Consider the following 15,708-nt stretch of genomic DNA (forward strand, 5'->3'; position numbering starts at 1 on the left):
TCTTTCCAGTGTGTATATTTTTGTTTCCCTTTCTTGTCTTATTACCTGATGTTGAAAGCAGTACTGACAGAGAACATCCTTGCCTCATACCTCATCTTTGTGGGCAAGCTTCTAGTTTCTCATCGTTAAGTATGATGTTAGCTATAGGTTTTTTTTGTAGTTTCTTTATGCTCTAGTTGAGGAAATTACTCCTTATTTCTGTTTGTGTTTTTTTTTTACTTGTTTGTTTTGAGACAGAGTCTCACTCTGCTGCCCAGGCTGGAGTGCAGTGGCGCAATTTCGGCTCACTGCAACCTCTACCTCCTGAGTTCAAGTGATTCTCCTGCCTCAGCCTCCCCTAATGTGTATAATTTTAAAAGGTGCCTCAAGATTCCTCATGCAGGAGATGGGAAGGATCATCCTTTGAGAGACATTGGTTTAGAAGAAAGTAAAAATGGGGGGATAAAAGGAACTCTGCAATGTGGACGATGTCATGCTGGAGCTTAGACAGCCACAGGTGTAGGTCAAGGGGGGAGCCAGAGCAATGTAGAATGAAGTATGGTTCCTGGTATAAGGCAAATATCAGGTTGACAGTGAGGTTTCTAAAAATTAAGACTTTTTATTTTATTTATTTATTTATTTTTGAGACGGAGTTTTGCTCTTGTTGTCCAGGCTGGAGTGCAATGGAGCAATCTCGACTCACTGCAACCTCCACCTCCTGGGTTCAAGCAATTCTCCTGTCTCAGCCTCCCAGAGTAGCTGGGACTACAGGCATATGCGCCACCACGCCCAGCTAATTTTTTGTATTTTTATTAGAGACGGGATTTCTCCATGTTGGTCAGGCTGGTCTTGAACTCCCCCGCCTCTGGTGATCCACTCGCCTCTGCCTCCCAAAGTGCTGGGATTACAGACGTGAGCCACCGCGCCCGGCCAAAAATTAAGACTTCTTAATCCTCTTAATAATGGTTAGGGCAAACACAGGAAAGAAGAGGCAAAAATGAAATGCTGATGACAAAAATTAACGGTGTGAGCACCAATAGAAGGTTGAGGGTCAATGCAGATGGAAGCTTGGGTAGTATCTGCTAAAGAGATGTGCCACCTCTTGCTCCAGCTCTTCTACTGTCTTCAGGGTGATTTTTCTTTCTTTTTTTTTTGAGACGGAGTCTCGCTCTGTCACCAGGCTGGAGTGCAGTGGCATGATCTCCGCTCACTGTCGCCTCCCAGCTTCAAGGAATTCTCCTGCCTCAGCCTCCCAAGTAGCTGGGATTACAGGCGTGTGCCACCACACCCAGCTAATTTCTGTATTTTTAGTAGAGATGGGGTTTCACCATGTTGGCCAGGATGGTCTTGATCTCCTGACCTCGTGGTCCGCCCGCCTTGGCCTCCCAAAGTGCTGGTGCATATCTGTTCATATTATTTTCTGCTTAAAATCAGTCCCTTAAAATAAAGTTCACGCTAATAGCAGGACTCTCTGAGATCCCATACCCTGACCATTTGAATGACTTGTCTTTTTCTCCAGTGTTTGGGGGCTTTCATATATGCTTTTCCTTTTACCCAGATTCCTCTTGTTCCACAAATATAACCTAAATACATAGGTGTTAAGCCAGTGTTTACCGTTTGTCTTCCTGTTATTTGGAGATTTGAAAAATCTTACTTTTAATTTTATTTTTAAATATTTTATTGTGTATATTTCAGGTATACAATATGTTGTTATGGGATACATATAGATAGTAAAAAGGTTACTGTAGTGAAGGAAATGAACATATCCATCATCTCACATAATTACCCAATTTTTAAAAAGTTTACCAAGTCCATCCTTCTGCAGAAATTACCTATTTTTTTGTTTTTGTGACAAGAACAGCTAAAATTTACATTTAACATGAATCCCATACACAGTACAAGTTTATTACCTTGAATTAATTCATTAAAATATTCTTAATTATAAGTGACATATGAGTAGATATGTAAAAATAGTTATGCTGTCTGTCTCAACTCTACTTCTCTTTGCATAGGGAATCACTGTTAACAATTTGGTATGTATCTACCCCATCTGTTGTACCTTGTGTACCAGGGGTTTTTTAACTTTATTTTATTATGTAGATATATGTCCTCTGTGGAAAACATCAGTAGAAATAAGCTAAGAAAACATCTCCCAGTTGGGCTTGGTGGCTCACGCTTGTAATCCCAGCACTCTGGGAGGTTGAGGTGGGTGGATCGCTTGAGCTCAGGAGTTTGAGACCAGCCTGGGCAATGTGGTGAAACCCTGTCTCTACAAAATACAGAAAAATCAGCCAGGTGTGGTGGCTTGCGCCTGTAGTCCCAACTACTTGAGGGGCTGAGGCAGAGGATCGCTTGAGCCAGGGAGTTCAAGGCTGCAGTGAACCAAGATTGCACCACTGCATTCCAGTATGGGCTACAGAGGAAGACTTTGTCTCAAAAAAAAAAAAAAAAAAAAAAAGAAAAGAAAAAGAAAACATCTCTCATAATCATACCACCTAGAGGTAAATATGCTTAAAACTTTAGTGTTTGTTCTTCCAGGCTTTTTTTTTTTTTTTGGTTGCTTGCTCATACATATACACAAATATATATTTTTAATTTAATAGCCAATAATATGCACACTCTTCTTATAATCTGTATACCTCTATTGTCACTATGGTTTCTCCACACCCCACAGGATCCATTCAGGTACCATGAGTTGCACTTGTGTTATATCTCTTTAGTCTCCATTAATCTAGAACAATTTTTCTGCCATTTTGTGGTGTTCATGATGTTGACATATTGAAGAATCTTAGTTTTTATAATGTCATATTGAATATCTCTCAGTCTGGATATATCTGATTGTTTTCTTGTGATTAGATTCAGTTTAAATTTTTTTTTTTTTTTGTAAGAGTATTGTGCTGGTGTTTAGTTCCCATTATATCACATCAAAAGACGTATAATGTGGCTGGGTGCGGTGGCTCATGCCTGTAATCCCAGCACTTTGGGAGGCCGAGGTGGGTGGATTACTTGAAGTCAGGAGTTCGAGACCAGCTTGGTCAACATGGTGAAATCCCGTCTCTACTAAAAATACAAAAATTAGCCTGTAATCCCAGCTGGTTGGGAGGCTGAGGCACAAGAATAGCTTGAACCTGGGAGGCGGAGGTTACAGTAAGCCAAGATTCTGTCACTGCACTCCAGCCTGGGCAATAGAGCGAGATTCCGTCTCAAAAAAAAAATGTATAATGTCAATTTATTGCATTATTGGTGATAGTTTAGGTGATGTCAACCACAGACCTCTTAATTTTAAAGGTTTTTTTTTTCTATTTGTAATTAATGATAAATCTGTGGGGTAATAACTTTGAGACTCTGTTAATATGCCATTCTCTAGCAACTTTCCACTTAATAGTTTTAGCATCCTTGTCAAAGTCACTGATTACAATTACACTGATTACATATGTAGGCTGCAAGATGGAAATTTGCTAATTCCAATTCTAATTCCTCCTACATTTATTAGGAAGCATTTACTGTGTAAAGAAATTCTCTTCCCCTTTTTTTCCTTTTCAGTATTACTGTGAGCTCATATGTTATAATCTATTAACTGATTGCTGTTTCTGTTACTTATTACATTGTCCAAGTTTGACCAGTGAGAGTCCTTTAAGAAGGCCCTTGTGTATACACAAACACTTCTCTCTCTTTCTCTCACTGTTTCTCTGTTTTGTCCACCACTTTTCTGTCTCTACCTCTAAATAAACTGGATAAATCCCTAAGATATTTTTCTACAACTTGCTTTGTTTCACTCATCTGTTAATTCTGTAATTCTTCTCATGTCAGTGTATGTGGGATATTTCATTCTTTTTAATGATACATAGAATGGCTCAACCATAATGTACTTATTTTTTTGTTTCAAGTTTTTCACTTATATATAGTGCTGACAAACATGTGCCATGTATATATATGTAATAATTTCTGTGGGATAGATACCTAGAAGTAAAAATTCTTTTTTTTTTTTTTTTTTTTTTTTGAGACGGAGTCTCGTTCTTTCACCAGGCTACAGTGCAAAGGTGAGATCTCGGCTCACTGCAACCTCTGCCTCCTGGGTTCAAGCGATTCTCCCGCCTCAGCCTCCTGAGTAGCTGGGACTACAGGCATGCGCCACCTCACCCGGCTATATTTTTGTATTTTGAGTAGAGACGGGGTTTCACCATGTTGGCCAGGTTGGTCTCGATCTCCAGACCTCATGATCTGCCCACCTCGGCCTCCCAAAGTGCTGGGATTACAGGGAAGTAAAATTTCTTAGTCAAAAGATAAGTGTATTTAAACTTCTAAAAACCATTTCCAGATTGACTACCAAAAGGACTGTACTAATTACCAACAATGCACAAACTACTTGATAACATTGCATATTTGTAAATTTTCTTTTATTCTTTTGGATATAATCTCTTTATTACAATGTGCATTCACCTTATTAAGAATGAAGTTTGGCATCTTGTGGCCATTTGCCACATTTTGTTTTCTGTTACTTGCCTGTCATTTTCTTAGTCATTTCTTTTCTTTTTTTTTCTGGTGAAAACATACACATATATTTAGAATTAGCCAGCTGGACTCAGTTTAGATGATCCCAATTTTGTTGGCAAGATTCAAAGCATTGTAATCAGGAGCCAGTCGAACATATGCCTTCTTTTCTCCATCAGGCCGAATTAGGGTGTTGACACCTTGGCCACATCAATGTCACAGAGCTCCTTCACAGCCTGTTTGATCTGGTGCTTGTTGGCTTTAACTTCCTCAGTGAACACAAGCATGTTGTTGTCTTCTATCTTCTTCATGGCAGACTCAGTGGTCAGCAGAAACTTGATGATGGTATAGTAGTCAAGCTTGTTTCTCCTGGGGGAGCTCTTCCGAGGATATCTGGGCTGCCTCCAGAGTCTCAGTGTCTTGGGCTGCTGGAAGGTGGGTGACATGCGGATCTTCTTTTTTGGTGGCTGTGGACACCTTTCAACACTGCCTTCTTGGCCTTGAAAGCCTTCGGTTTGGCTTCAGCTTTAGGAGGGACAGGAGCTTCCTTCACTTTCGGCACTGTCTTGTGAAAAGCATAGTCATTTCTTGTCCTGGCGCGGTGGCTCACACCTTTAATCCCAGCATGTTGGGAGGCTGAGGCATGTGGATCACCTGAAGTCAGGAGTTTGATACCAGCCTGGTTAATGTGGTGAAACTCCCTTCTCTACTAAAAATACAAAAAATTTGCCAGGTGTGGTAGTGGGCACCTGTAATCCCAGCTACTTGGGAGGCTGAGGCAGGAGAATCGCTTGAACCCAGGAGGGCTTGAACCCAGGAGGCGGAGATTGCAGTGAGCCGAGATCGCGCCATTGCACTCCAGCCCGGGTAACAAGAGCGAAACTCCGTCTCACAAAAAAAAAAGAAAGAAAAGAAAAGCTTAGTTATTAGGTTCTCTTTTTTTCTCATTGACTTATTGGAATTCTTTTTTTAATGGTCTTTGTCTGTTATATGTGTTGCAAATATTTTCCATCCTTGCAAATGTTTTTTATGTTTTCCATCCTGTTCTGTATCCTTTAACTTTGTGATTTTTTATTGTTTACAATTTTCTGTACAGTTAACACCTGTAGATTTTTTTTCCCCCTTAACTCTTTTGGGACTAGTTTTTAAGTTTCAAAATGAATTTTTATCTAAAACTCAATCCAAAGAAAGGGACATTTTTAAAAGTGTAATAAGTAGCTAGTATTGCTAGAGTCTTTTGTTTTTAAATATGGTTGCTTACAGTGACAGACTTCCATATTGTAATTCAGCCATGCAATTTTTAAAAAACATGGTTAAATATGAACTTCATGAATACTTTATTTAGAGAAAACTATTTGCCTATCATAATACATGAATATTAAATAAAATGTGGAAAATATAGAACAGAGAGAAGAAAAAAACATTTCTAATTGTCCTCATATCCAGACAGCCATAGTATTTTGTTGCATTTCTTTTATCTCCTTTTTTTTGAGAAATATGCTTATTCTCAAGTAATTGCATAAGGATCTTTAAGTTGAGATTTTGCTAAAAGATAGTATGCCAAATTTCGCTTATTGAATTTATAATTGTTTACTGTAATTACTTTTCAGAGTGCTCACTTCATCTAAATCTCTTTTCTTTTTGAAATTTGAGGGCTGCAGTGTGTCACTTAGTATAAATATCTTTGTGGGAAGATCTTCTAATATTAGGGTACCTCTGACCGTGATGTCACTTATCCTGATATCCTGATTGTAGTGTGTCTGAATTCAGGAGAATGTCAGGTATATGTTAGTACTTGACAGAAGTTAGGTAGTGTACTTACCAGCAGTTGCCCTCAGGTTTAGTTGCTATTCATTAAATGAGATAAGGCTTACTAAGAGATGTTTCCCCCTATTTATTTTTCAGTTTACTGTTAGCCTAGCCCAAGGCCATTTTTGTTTTTTAGTGTATGCAAAAAGATATCCTTAGGAGTGTTCACTGGATAGTAGAATATGTTCAAGTTACAACCATTTGGTACTTTACTTCTTTTGTGCTTTAGGACAGGGGTCCCCAACCAGGTGGTACTGGTCCTTGGCCTGTTAGGAACTGGGCCTCACAGCAGGGGGTGAGCGGCTGGTGAGGGAGCATTACTGCCTGAACTCCACCTCCTGTCGGATCAGTGGCAGCATTGGATTCTCCTGGAAGCGCGAACACTATTGTGAACTGCACATATGAGGGATCTAGGTTTCATACTTCTTATGAGAATGTGATGCCTGATGATCTGAGGTGGAACAGTTTCATCCAAAATAATCCCCCTGTCCCATCCATGGAAAAATTGTTTTCCACGAAACCAGCCCCTGGTGCCAAAAAGGTTGGGGACCAATGCTTTGGGATATATTTCTGACAAGTATTATGCATGTTGTAGGTACTGTCTTTCTCGTAAACAATATTACTCATTTTAAAATCTTTTTTGGCCGGGCGCGGTGGCTCACGCCTGTAATCCCAGCACTTTGGGAGGCTGAGGTGGGTGGATCACGAGGTCAGGAGATCGAGACCATCCTGACTAACATGGTGAAACCCCGTCTCTACTAAAAATACAAAAAAATTAGCCGGGCATGGTGGTGGGCGCCTGTAGTCCCAGCTACTCGGGAGGCTGAGGCAGGAGAATGGCTTGAACCTGGGAGGTGGAGCTTGCAGTGAGCTGAGATCATGCCACTGTACTCCAGCCTGGGCGACAGAGTGAGACTCTGTCTCAAAAAAAAAAAAAAAAAGTCTTTTTTATTGATGAGTTTCATAGTCAAAAGTCTAATGATATATTAAGTACAGAAAAAGTGTTTTAAGTTTTTAAATGGCAACTTTTATATACCTGTTTTATATATACCGAAATATAATTAGGATAGATATTATTAAACACATACTGCAGATGAAATAACTAAGCTTCAGAGATTTGGTTTGTTCAAAGTTACACAGCTAGAAGATGGAAGACTGAAAGTCCACTGGCCCCTGTGTGAAAAGCTGAATGGGGAACATTTCCACTGATTTGAATTATCCATACCTTTGTACAACTCAAAACAATTGTAAACACATATTTTTATTTTCTTAAATATGAGTTGTGTACATTGCATATATTAGTCAAAGATTGATGCTAATTAAATGGCCATAGAAACATGTCTTCTGTGTTACCCATTGGAAACACACTGAGCACATATGAGTTTTATGTGTTTATACATTGTTTATTTTGTTTACCCATATGAAAAAGAAAATATGTTTCCCATACTCATGTTTTATATGGAAGAGAGAAAGATTTTAGAACGTATTTAGTCACTAATTAAAATGAATTGGAGCAGATATACAGTGCTAGAACTTTGGTCTAGAGCTCAGTAAACCCAACAGGTATGACAGAGAAATATGGGATAAGTGGCAGGTAAAAGTGGCAAGTAAAGAACTCTATAAAGGTAATGACACAGTATGGATCATTTTTCAGGGACAGTGAAGCTGAAGAAAAAATACATACAGACTTGCTGGTTGTTCTTTGAGCTTGCACAACACCATTCTTCCAGATTACAAAGGAAGAATTTCCTGGGAATGGATTTCAGAATCATTCCTAAGATTAACTGTAGGAGGTTTAAAACTCTGTGCAAATGTGCACGTTTGCTATGTGTGTGGAATATTCTTTAAAAATATAATTGAAAATTTTCTTTATTCTGAAAAAGTGAACTGCTGTGATTTACCTTGATTTGGCTGAATGAAGTTAATAAATTGGATAGCTCCTTAAGGGCTTTATTCTCTTGGTAATTGCCTACTTGTGTGGATGCACATTTTATCTAGTTTGAATTTGTTTCAAAGGAACATTATTTTGTAAATAAAATATATATTTTTTCCCATGTGGTATTGCATAGCACATGGAGAAAATAGATTGATGATACCGTTTCATTTTATGATTTTTCTTTGAATATAATGTTTTGTTCTTTTATTGGAAATAAAACTGACCCCAAGAATAAAATTATATTTCCTTTTAATTTTATGATAGTGCATTTAAAGTAATGTATATCTACCCAAGGTGATGAAGATGATGATTGCCAACCACAATTTAATGACATTAAAGAAATTAATGAGTTTTGATTCCTTTGCTTATCTTGTGTGTTATAGTCTAACTCCTTTTAAATCTGTTCTTTGACATTTTATATGACTTTCAGATTGTGTGCGTATATATGATACATATAATTATGTATTAAAGTATGTTAATTAAAAATGTTAATTAAATGAAATTAATTATATAGTTTAATTTGTAACTATTAATATTAACTATATTTAGCATAACTATTAACATAGTATATATGAAATCCATATATACATATATATATACACACACACATGCATAATCTGAAAAAATATATATACTTTTTTGAGACGAGATTTTGCTCTGTTGCCCAGGCTGGTTCACTGGCACCCTCCACATCCCAGGCTCAAGTGATTCTCCCACCTCAGCCTTTCTAGCACCTGAGACTACCGTGTGTGCCACCATGCTTGGCTAAACTCTTTTTTGTATTTTTTGTAGAGACAGGGCCTTACTATGTTGCCCAGGCTGATCTGAAACTCCTGGGCTCAAGCGATCATCCTGCCTCAGCCTCCCAAAGCATTGGGATTGCAGGCATGAACTACACGCCTTGGCTGACTTTCAGATTTTATTAAAATTCACTGTTATAAAACCTTTGAATAGCATAAGGATAACAATTAAACAGTTGCTTGAAGCAGCTTGTGTAAGTCATAGCTGCAAACCAACTTTTTAGTTTTTTGCTTACTATTAGGCTATTTTAGTTATGATCTATATTTGGTAAGTAGTGTTTTAATGAAATACTTACATGTAACCACTGACATATAATGACGTCTAGTTAATTAATGTTGGTAATTTAAAATTATTTACTAATTGTATATGGCTCTTTTCCTTTCTCGTGGGTGATTTGTTTAACTCAGTATTCATTCATTTATATACTGTAGTTATTTATTTTAGTTTGAATTTCTTTGATGGTTGTGAGAGGTCACGCTCCAATTTAGGCTCCTGGTTGTCTGGTTAGTGTTTACCAGTTCAAATAATCACATGATCTTACATTGGATATATATAAACTTACCCATATGGTGAAGTCTTTTAGGAGACGATCATGTTAAATGTTTCTCACTGTGGCTTATTTAATGTCATCAGTTTATTGCGTGTTACTTTGGATGCCCCTTAGAACTTGGCACCAAGACCTACCCTCTTAGAATAAACCTGGTCAAAAGGATGTTGGGATGGTTGCTATTTTATCTTTAGAAATGACCTATTTTGAGATGTAATAAATGTGTCTCAGGAGACTGGAGAAATGCCCAAACCTAAAGGTGATACTTCAGGACAAGAATTAAGTTGCAATGTGTTCATTATTATATATGCTTTAGATTGTTTCTTTGAAGGATGTTTTACATTAGGGCAGTGCCTTCCTTTTTAGAGGAAGGGAAATTTGATAATAAGTTAGTGTATGTCCACTACCATTTGGGAAAAAGAAATCTATTTAGGAGTCATGACTATCATCAGTAGAGAAGTGTACTTCATTGTTGGTTATCAGTAAGTAGTTCAGCATGGTTTTTTATAGTCTGAATGAAATACTCTCTCAGAACTTTTCAATTTCCATTTATCAGATTCCATGTTTATTATACTTTGGTGGTAGTAATAACAAACTTTTAGGCATCTTGATGCTGAGAAAGTTATTTATGATTATGGATGTGACATTGCTTACCAGCAGATTTTGTTGGTTTCTAAGATACCGGCAGCCTCATCAATGCTGACTGAGTTCACAGACAAAATTGAGTTGTAGGAATTTTAATGATCAAAACCTGATTTACCAAGATATTGTCAATGAAGTCCTGCCTGAACTTCTTATTGCAGCTTTGATAAATAATCTACTCTTTTAAACTCAAAATCAGGGAAAATACTTTAAAAATTTTAGGCAGATCTGGAAGCCTAAATAGAAACTTTAAATATACAGTCACCCCTCAGTATACCTAGGGAATTGGTTCCAGGACCCCTGCAGATACCAAAATTAGCACATATTCAAGTCCCACAGTCGGACCTGGGGAACTTGGGTTATGAAAAGTTGATGCTTTGTTTATGTGAGTTTTGTATCCCACAAGTGTATTTTCACTCTGTGTTGTGTTGAAAGAAATCTGCATATAAGTGCACCTGACCAGTTCAAACCTGTGTTGTTCCATTGTCAACTGTAACTTGTAATTCCAGAGATGTATCTAAGGCAACTTTGCTTTTGATAATTGGAGGGCAATTGAATTGAAGTATGACATGTCCTACTCTAAAGTGTAAAGAGCATTGCCAAGTTATCTTGTCTGTTGGGTGTGTTCATGAGAATCTTTAAGGATTTTTATTACATTAGCTGCCTAAATAATATGATGAACTCCTCTCAGAATGTTGAGTTTTGTGAGTGATAAGAGGAAAAAAGAGAATGACATATTGTTTTCATCCATTTCAGTTATAGACAAATTTTCACAGAAAGAATAATTTAAAATTTTTGAACAGATTAAATACATCATAGAGTTAGAGATTGGCTCAGTTGTGCATGGAACTCAGTCTGTCTAATGTTACTACTCTGAACTTTTCAAACTGTTCTATAGCTTTAGGTGCATAACTTTGCTTTTACAATTGTATTATACCTGTTTGTATTATAATCTGCCACCTCCAAAATTAGATCAAAGACTTTTTGGTTTGTATCTTTGTTTTGCATGAGTTTGATCTTTTATATATATATTTTAGTACCTGCTACAAAGGGACCTCAGTAAGTGTTTGCCAACCAATAATTAATCTAAATTCTTTAATGACAACTTGTATTTTTTATATTTTATATTTTTATTTTTTATGAGATGGAATTTTGCTCTTGGCACCCAGGCTGGAGTGCAGTGGCGCAATCTTGGCTCACTGCAACCTTTGCCTCCAGGGTTCAAGTGATTCTCCTGCCTCGGCTTCTCGAGTAGCTGGGATTCTGGGCGCCTGCCACCACGCCTGGATAATTTTTGTGTTTTTAGGAGAGATGAGGTTTCACCGTGTTGGCCAGGCTGGTCTCGAACTCCTCACCTCAGGTGATCTGCCCACCTCGGCCTCCCAAAGTGCTGGGAATACAGGCATGAGCCACTGCACCCAGCCTAATTTTTATATTTTTTAAATTAAAAATTTATTGTTTTCCCACCTTTAATGCTTTTACAGTAGGACTAAAACTATTTTTAAAATGTCATTTATTTCATTGTGTATACTACATTAGGTGAAAAAGTATATAAAATGAGTTTATTTCTGTATTTTAATACGTTTCTTATAAACCATTGGTGTTTCATATCTTTTTCCTCATCTCTTTGCTATTCTTTTTCTTTTGTGATTTTATGTGACTTTAACAAAATAAACCCTATTTAATCATAGTGTTTTTGTTTTTTTTAGGTTGTTATGGAGTTGATGGAGAGAGTGACTCTATTATGAGTTCAGCTTCTGAAAACTCCACTGAACCTTGGTTTTGTGATGCCTGTAAATGTGGTGTTTCTCCTAGCTGTGAACTGTGTCCTAATCAGGATGGAATTTTCAAGGAGACAGATGCTGGAAGGTTAATGTCCTAATTATGTTGGTTCATATGTTTGCTTTATAATGTGTCTGCCTTTGACTTCCCTGTTCTTCTGTTTATGATTACACACTTTCATTTGATTGCTTCTTTGTATCTTCTTGGCATAGAATAAATGACCAGTGGGATACAGATGGAGAAGGGTGAGAGGAAAGACCATTTATTGAGTACCTGCATTTGCCTTTACATCCATAATCTTAATTAATCTTAATAATTGACCCTATGATGAGGCAGGTGGTAACGTTTCTCATTTTATAGGTGTATAGTACCCAGGGCTCAGATTATTTAAATAACTTATTCGTTCAAGACCACAAACTGGTGAATGGTCAATTTTGAACCTAGATCTGTATAACTTTATATCAGGAGATAGAACTTAATACAGTGATTTAAAAAGAAGTTTAGTATAAAGAATTTTTAAGCTGTGATAAAAGAGTCACTATAAGGTATAAAAAAACTCTAAAGGATGCTCTGGGCCTGAGGGAGATTATCCAAGGAATGACAAAATTGGAATGATGACCTCCTACCCTAGGTTGGGGTTCAGGCTTTGTTGGAGAAATTATAGTTAAACCCTACTGGATGGAGAGAAGGCCCTCTGTGTTGAGAGGGCCATGGAAAAATGATCTTCATGTTGGGCCAGGGCTGTGAGGTCACTGAGGGACTGTGTATATAGCTGGGGCAGAGCACAGGAGGAAGTACTCCACCCATACCTGCTGAAAAGCCCCTCCGTTCTACGAGACCTCCTGCCATTGAGTTTATAGCTCCCTCTACCATTGAGCTTAGTGTTATGCTCACTCTGAGAAGAAATGCTGAAGAAATTCTGTCCATTATTGCAGAGTAGGTATTGAAGCATGCGTGAGAGGCAATTAATAAGTGGCACAAAGACCTGTGTTCTTTTTACTACATTCACACTCATGTTTGTTAACACATTTGAGCACTTGTCATCATAACGGTGTTGCCATCTTCCATGTTTTTTTTTTTTTTACAGGAGACTACCATCTAGGGTTGGTGACTAAAATTAAGAGTAATTTTCAACCTTTTGTATTTCGTGGAGATCACGCTCTGCCTCTTCCTCTCCAATATAAGAGGGGGGGTGGGTACTTAAATTTTTATTTTGTCACATAAGGATGTTTTAGTATTTTATTAAACATGCTTTATATTAAAAACAAGATTAACAGCAAAGCAACCTATATAAATTATCACCATCATTTCCCATATTTTAACATAAAAACTAGGGTATATTATGTCCTAAAATAAAGGATAGGCTTTTAAATTTAATAAATTTTACTTTAGTAAAGTAAAACAAATTTTCTCTTATTTTTATCATTTTTGCCTCAATTGGTGGACTGATCCTTGAGAAATGTTGCCATACAAGATTGCTGGGATAGCGTAGAATCTACCATTGAATCTTGGAGAATCCCATGTGTTGATGTTCAGGACAAATGACTAAAGAATCTTACCTCTTCTTCCTTATTGTCTATCCAAAAATAAAATATATAACAAATGATTTGATGTATTGACATGAATCTGTGGTCTGTATCATAGGCATAGGCATTACTCTAAGTTGGGCCTGAGAGTGGCCTAGTATTAGGGAGTTTAGTAAGCATTAAGTGTGCACCTTCAAGTTGGACTGTCTATGTTTGGATTCTAGTCTTTTTTTTTTAATAGCTATAATTTTAGGCAAGTGATGTAACCTTTTTATGCCTCAGTTTCCTTAGCAGTGTTGAGAAGACTAAATGAGATGATCCATGAGAAACAACTAGCAGTTTCTGTAACATAATAAGTGGTCAGTAAATGTCTCCTTACTCTTACTACTGCCGTTACTGCTGCTACTAGTGCTTTCTTATTACCATTATTGCTCCACTTATTTTAGGTAATCATGGAGTATTAGCTCATGCATAGATTTTTTTTTTTTTTTTTTGGTAACTCTTCCAGTCCTGAGAATTGAAATTTTTGGTGATAAATTGTGGTGAATAAGTAAGGCAGTTTTGGAAAGACAGAACTTCCTTTTAGGGAAGAGAATTTATTTTACTGTTTTTCTTGTTGATAATTTAAAAGTTCTGTTAGGACACTGTCAAGTAGTGGTTACTTCATGCTATCATAATAGACAAAACAACTGGCAAAGTTGTTTCTGAATGAAGAAAACTGAGGCCTCTTTACCATTTAGGTTTACTGAGGGATTTTTTTTTGGATACTGTGGACGTTACATAAGTAGACACCTCCTGTGATGGTGCAATCTGGCAAAAATTCTTTTATATACTATTTGAACACTTGTGCTAATGTCTACACTTACCTGTAGGCTGTACTGGAAATTATAGGCCTTCACAATATTTCCAAGGACGTAATACTAGTTTGATTAAAGGTATAAAAAGCCAAGAAAATTCGAGAAGCCTTTTAGTATATGAGCTTCAAATGGAAAACAGGGAAAAAGAAAGAATATTGTATATAAAGAATAAAAAAGGTTTTGAAGTTCACCATCACATGAGATTAATTAGACTTTTTTCCTTCTATTCTTGATGGGAGCCACAAGTTCTACATAGAAAATGATGTGATTTAATGTAAGAAAACCAGTACATTCTTGTCATTAAATTTTTATTTTATATCTTATGGAGAGTAAGACTTATAAACCTGACTGTGGGAAATTTTTTGGCATGCTCTCCTTTTTTATTTTTTATTTATAGTTTTACTATTTGTGGGTACATAGTAGATATGTATATTCATGGGGTACATGAGATGTTTTGATACAGGCATGCAATGTGAAATAAGCACATCATGGAGAATGGGGTATCCATTTCTCAAACACTTGTCTTTTGAGTTACAAACAATCCAGTTACCCTCTTTAAGTTATTTTTAAGTGTACAATTTAGTTTTTCTTGACTGTAGTCACCCTGTTGTGCTATTAAACAGTAGGTCTTAGTCTTTCCACTTTTTCGACTCATTAACCATCTCCCACCTCCCCCCACCATTTCACCCTTTCCCTGCACTATCCTTCCCAACGTCTAGTAACCATCCTTCTCCTGTCTGTGTCCATGAGTTCAGTTGTTTGGTTTTTAGATCCCACAAATAAGTGAGAACATGTGATGTTTGTCTTGCTGTGCCTGGCTTATTTCACCTAACATAATGATCTCTAGTTCCACCCAAGTTGTTGCAAATGACTGGCTCTCATTCTTTTTTATGGCTTAGTACTCCATTGTGTATTGTGTACCACAATTTCTTTATCGGATTCGTCTGTTGGTGGAAACTTAGGTTGCTTCCAAATCTTAGCTATTGTAAACAGTGCTGCGACAAATATAGGAGTGCAGATATCTCTTTAATGTACTGATTTCCTTTCTTTCGGATGTATACCCAACAGTGCAGTTGCTGGATTATATGGCAGCTCAATTTTTAGGAACCTCCAAAGTTTTCTTCATCATGGTTGTACTAATATACATTTCATGCAACAGTGTACAAGGGTTCCCTTTTCTCCACATTCTTGCCAACATTTGTTATTGCCTGTCTTTTGGATATAAGCTATTTTAACTGGGGTGAGATGATATTTCATGATAGTTTTGATTTGCATTTCTCTGATGATCAAGGATTTTGAGTCCCTTTTCATATGCCTGTTTTAGCATATGAGCTTCTT

At 37.0% G+C, this 15,708-nt stretch overlaps 1 protein-coding gene and 1 pseudogene across 4 annotated transcripts in view; one reads left to right on the forward strand and one right to left on the reverse strand.

Annotated features, from left to right (window-relative positions):
* Positions 1–15,708, forward strand: part of PHF14 (PHD finger protein 14) — a 195,747-nt gene that overhangs the window by 27,961 nt on the left and 152,078 nt on the right. For all 4 annotated transcript variants that reach the window (NR_033436.2, NR_033435.2, NM_001007157.2 and 1 more), the window contains one exon: positions 11,915–12,074. Coding sequence is in view for 2 of the 4 variants with exons in the window: in NM_001007157.2 (NP_001007158.1) it covers positions 11,915–12,074 (160 nt within the window). In the remaining 2 variants the exon portion in view is untranslated. The remainder of the gene's footprint in view (positions 1–11,914; positions 12,075–15,708) is intronic.
* RPL23AP52 (ribosomal protein L23a pseudogene 52) lies at positions 4,520–5,046 on the reverse strand (annotated as a pseudogene).

This window comes from Homo sapiens, chromosome 7 (genome assembly GCF_000001405.40).
Source record: "Homo sapiens chromosome 7, GRCh38.p14 Primary Assembly".
Classification (NCBI taxonomy): Eukaryota; Metazoa; Chordata; class Mammalia; order Primates; family Hominidae; genus Homo; species Homo sapiens.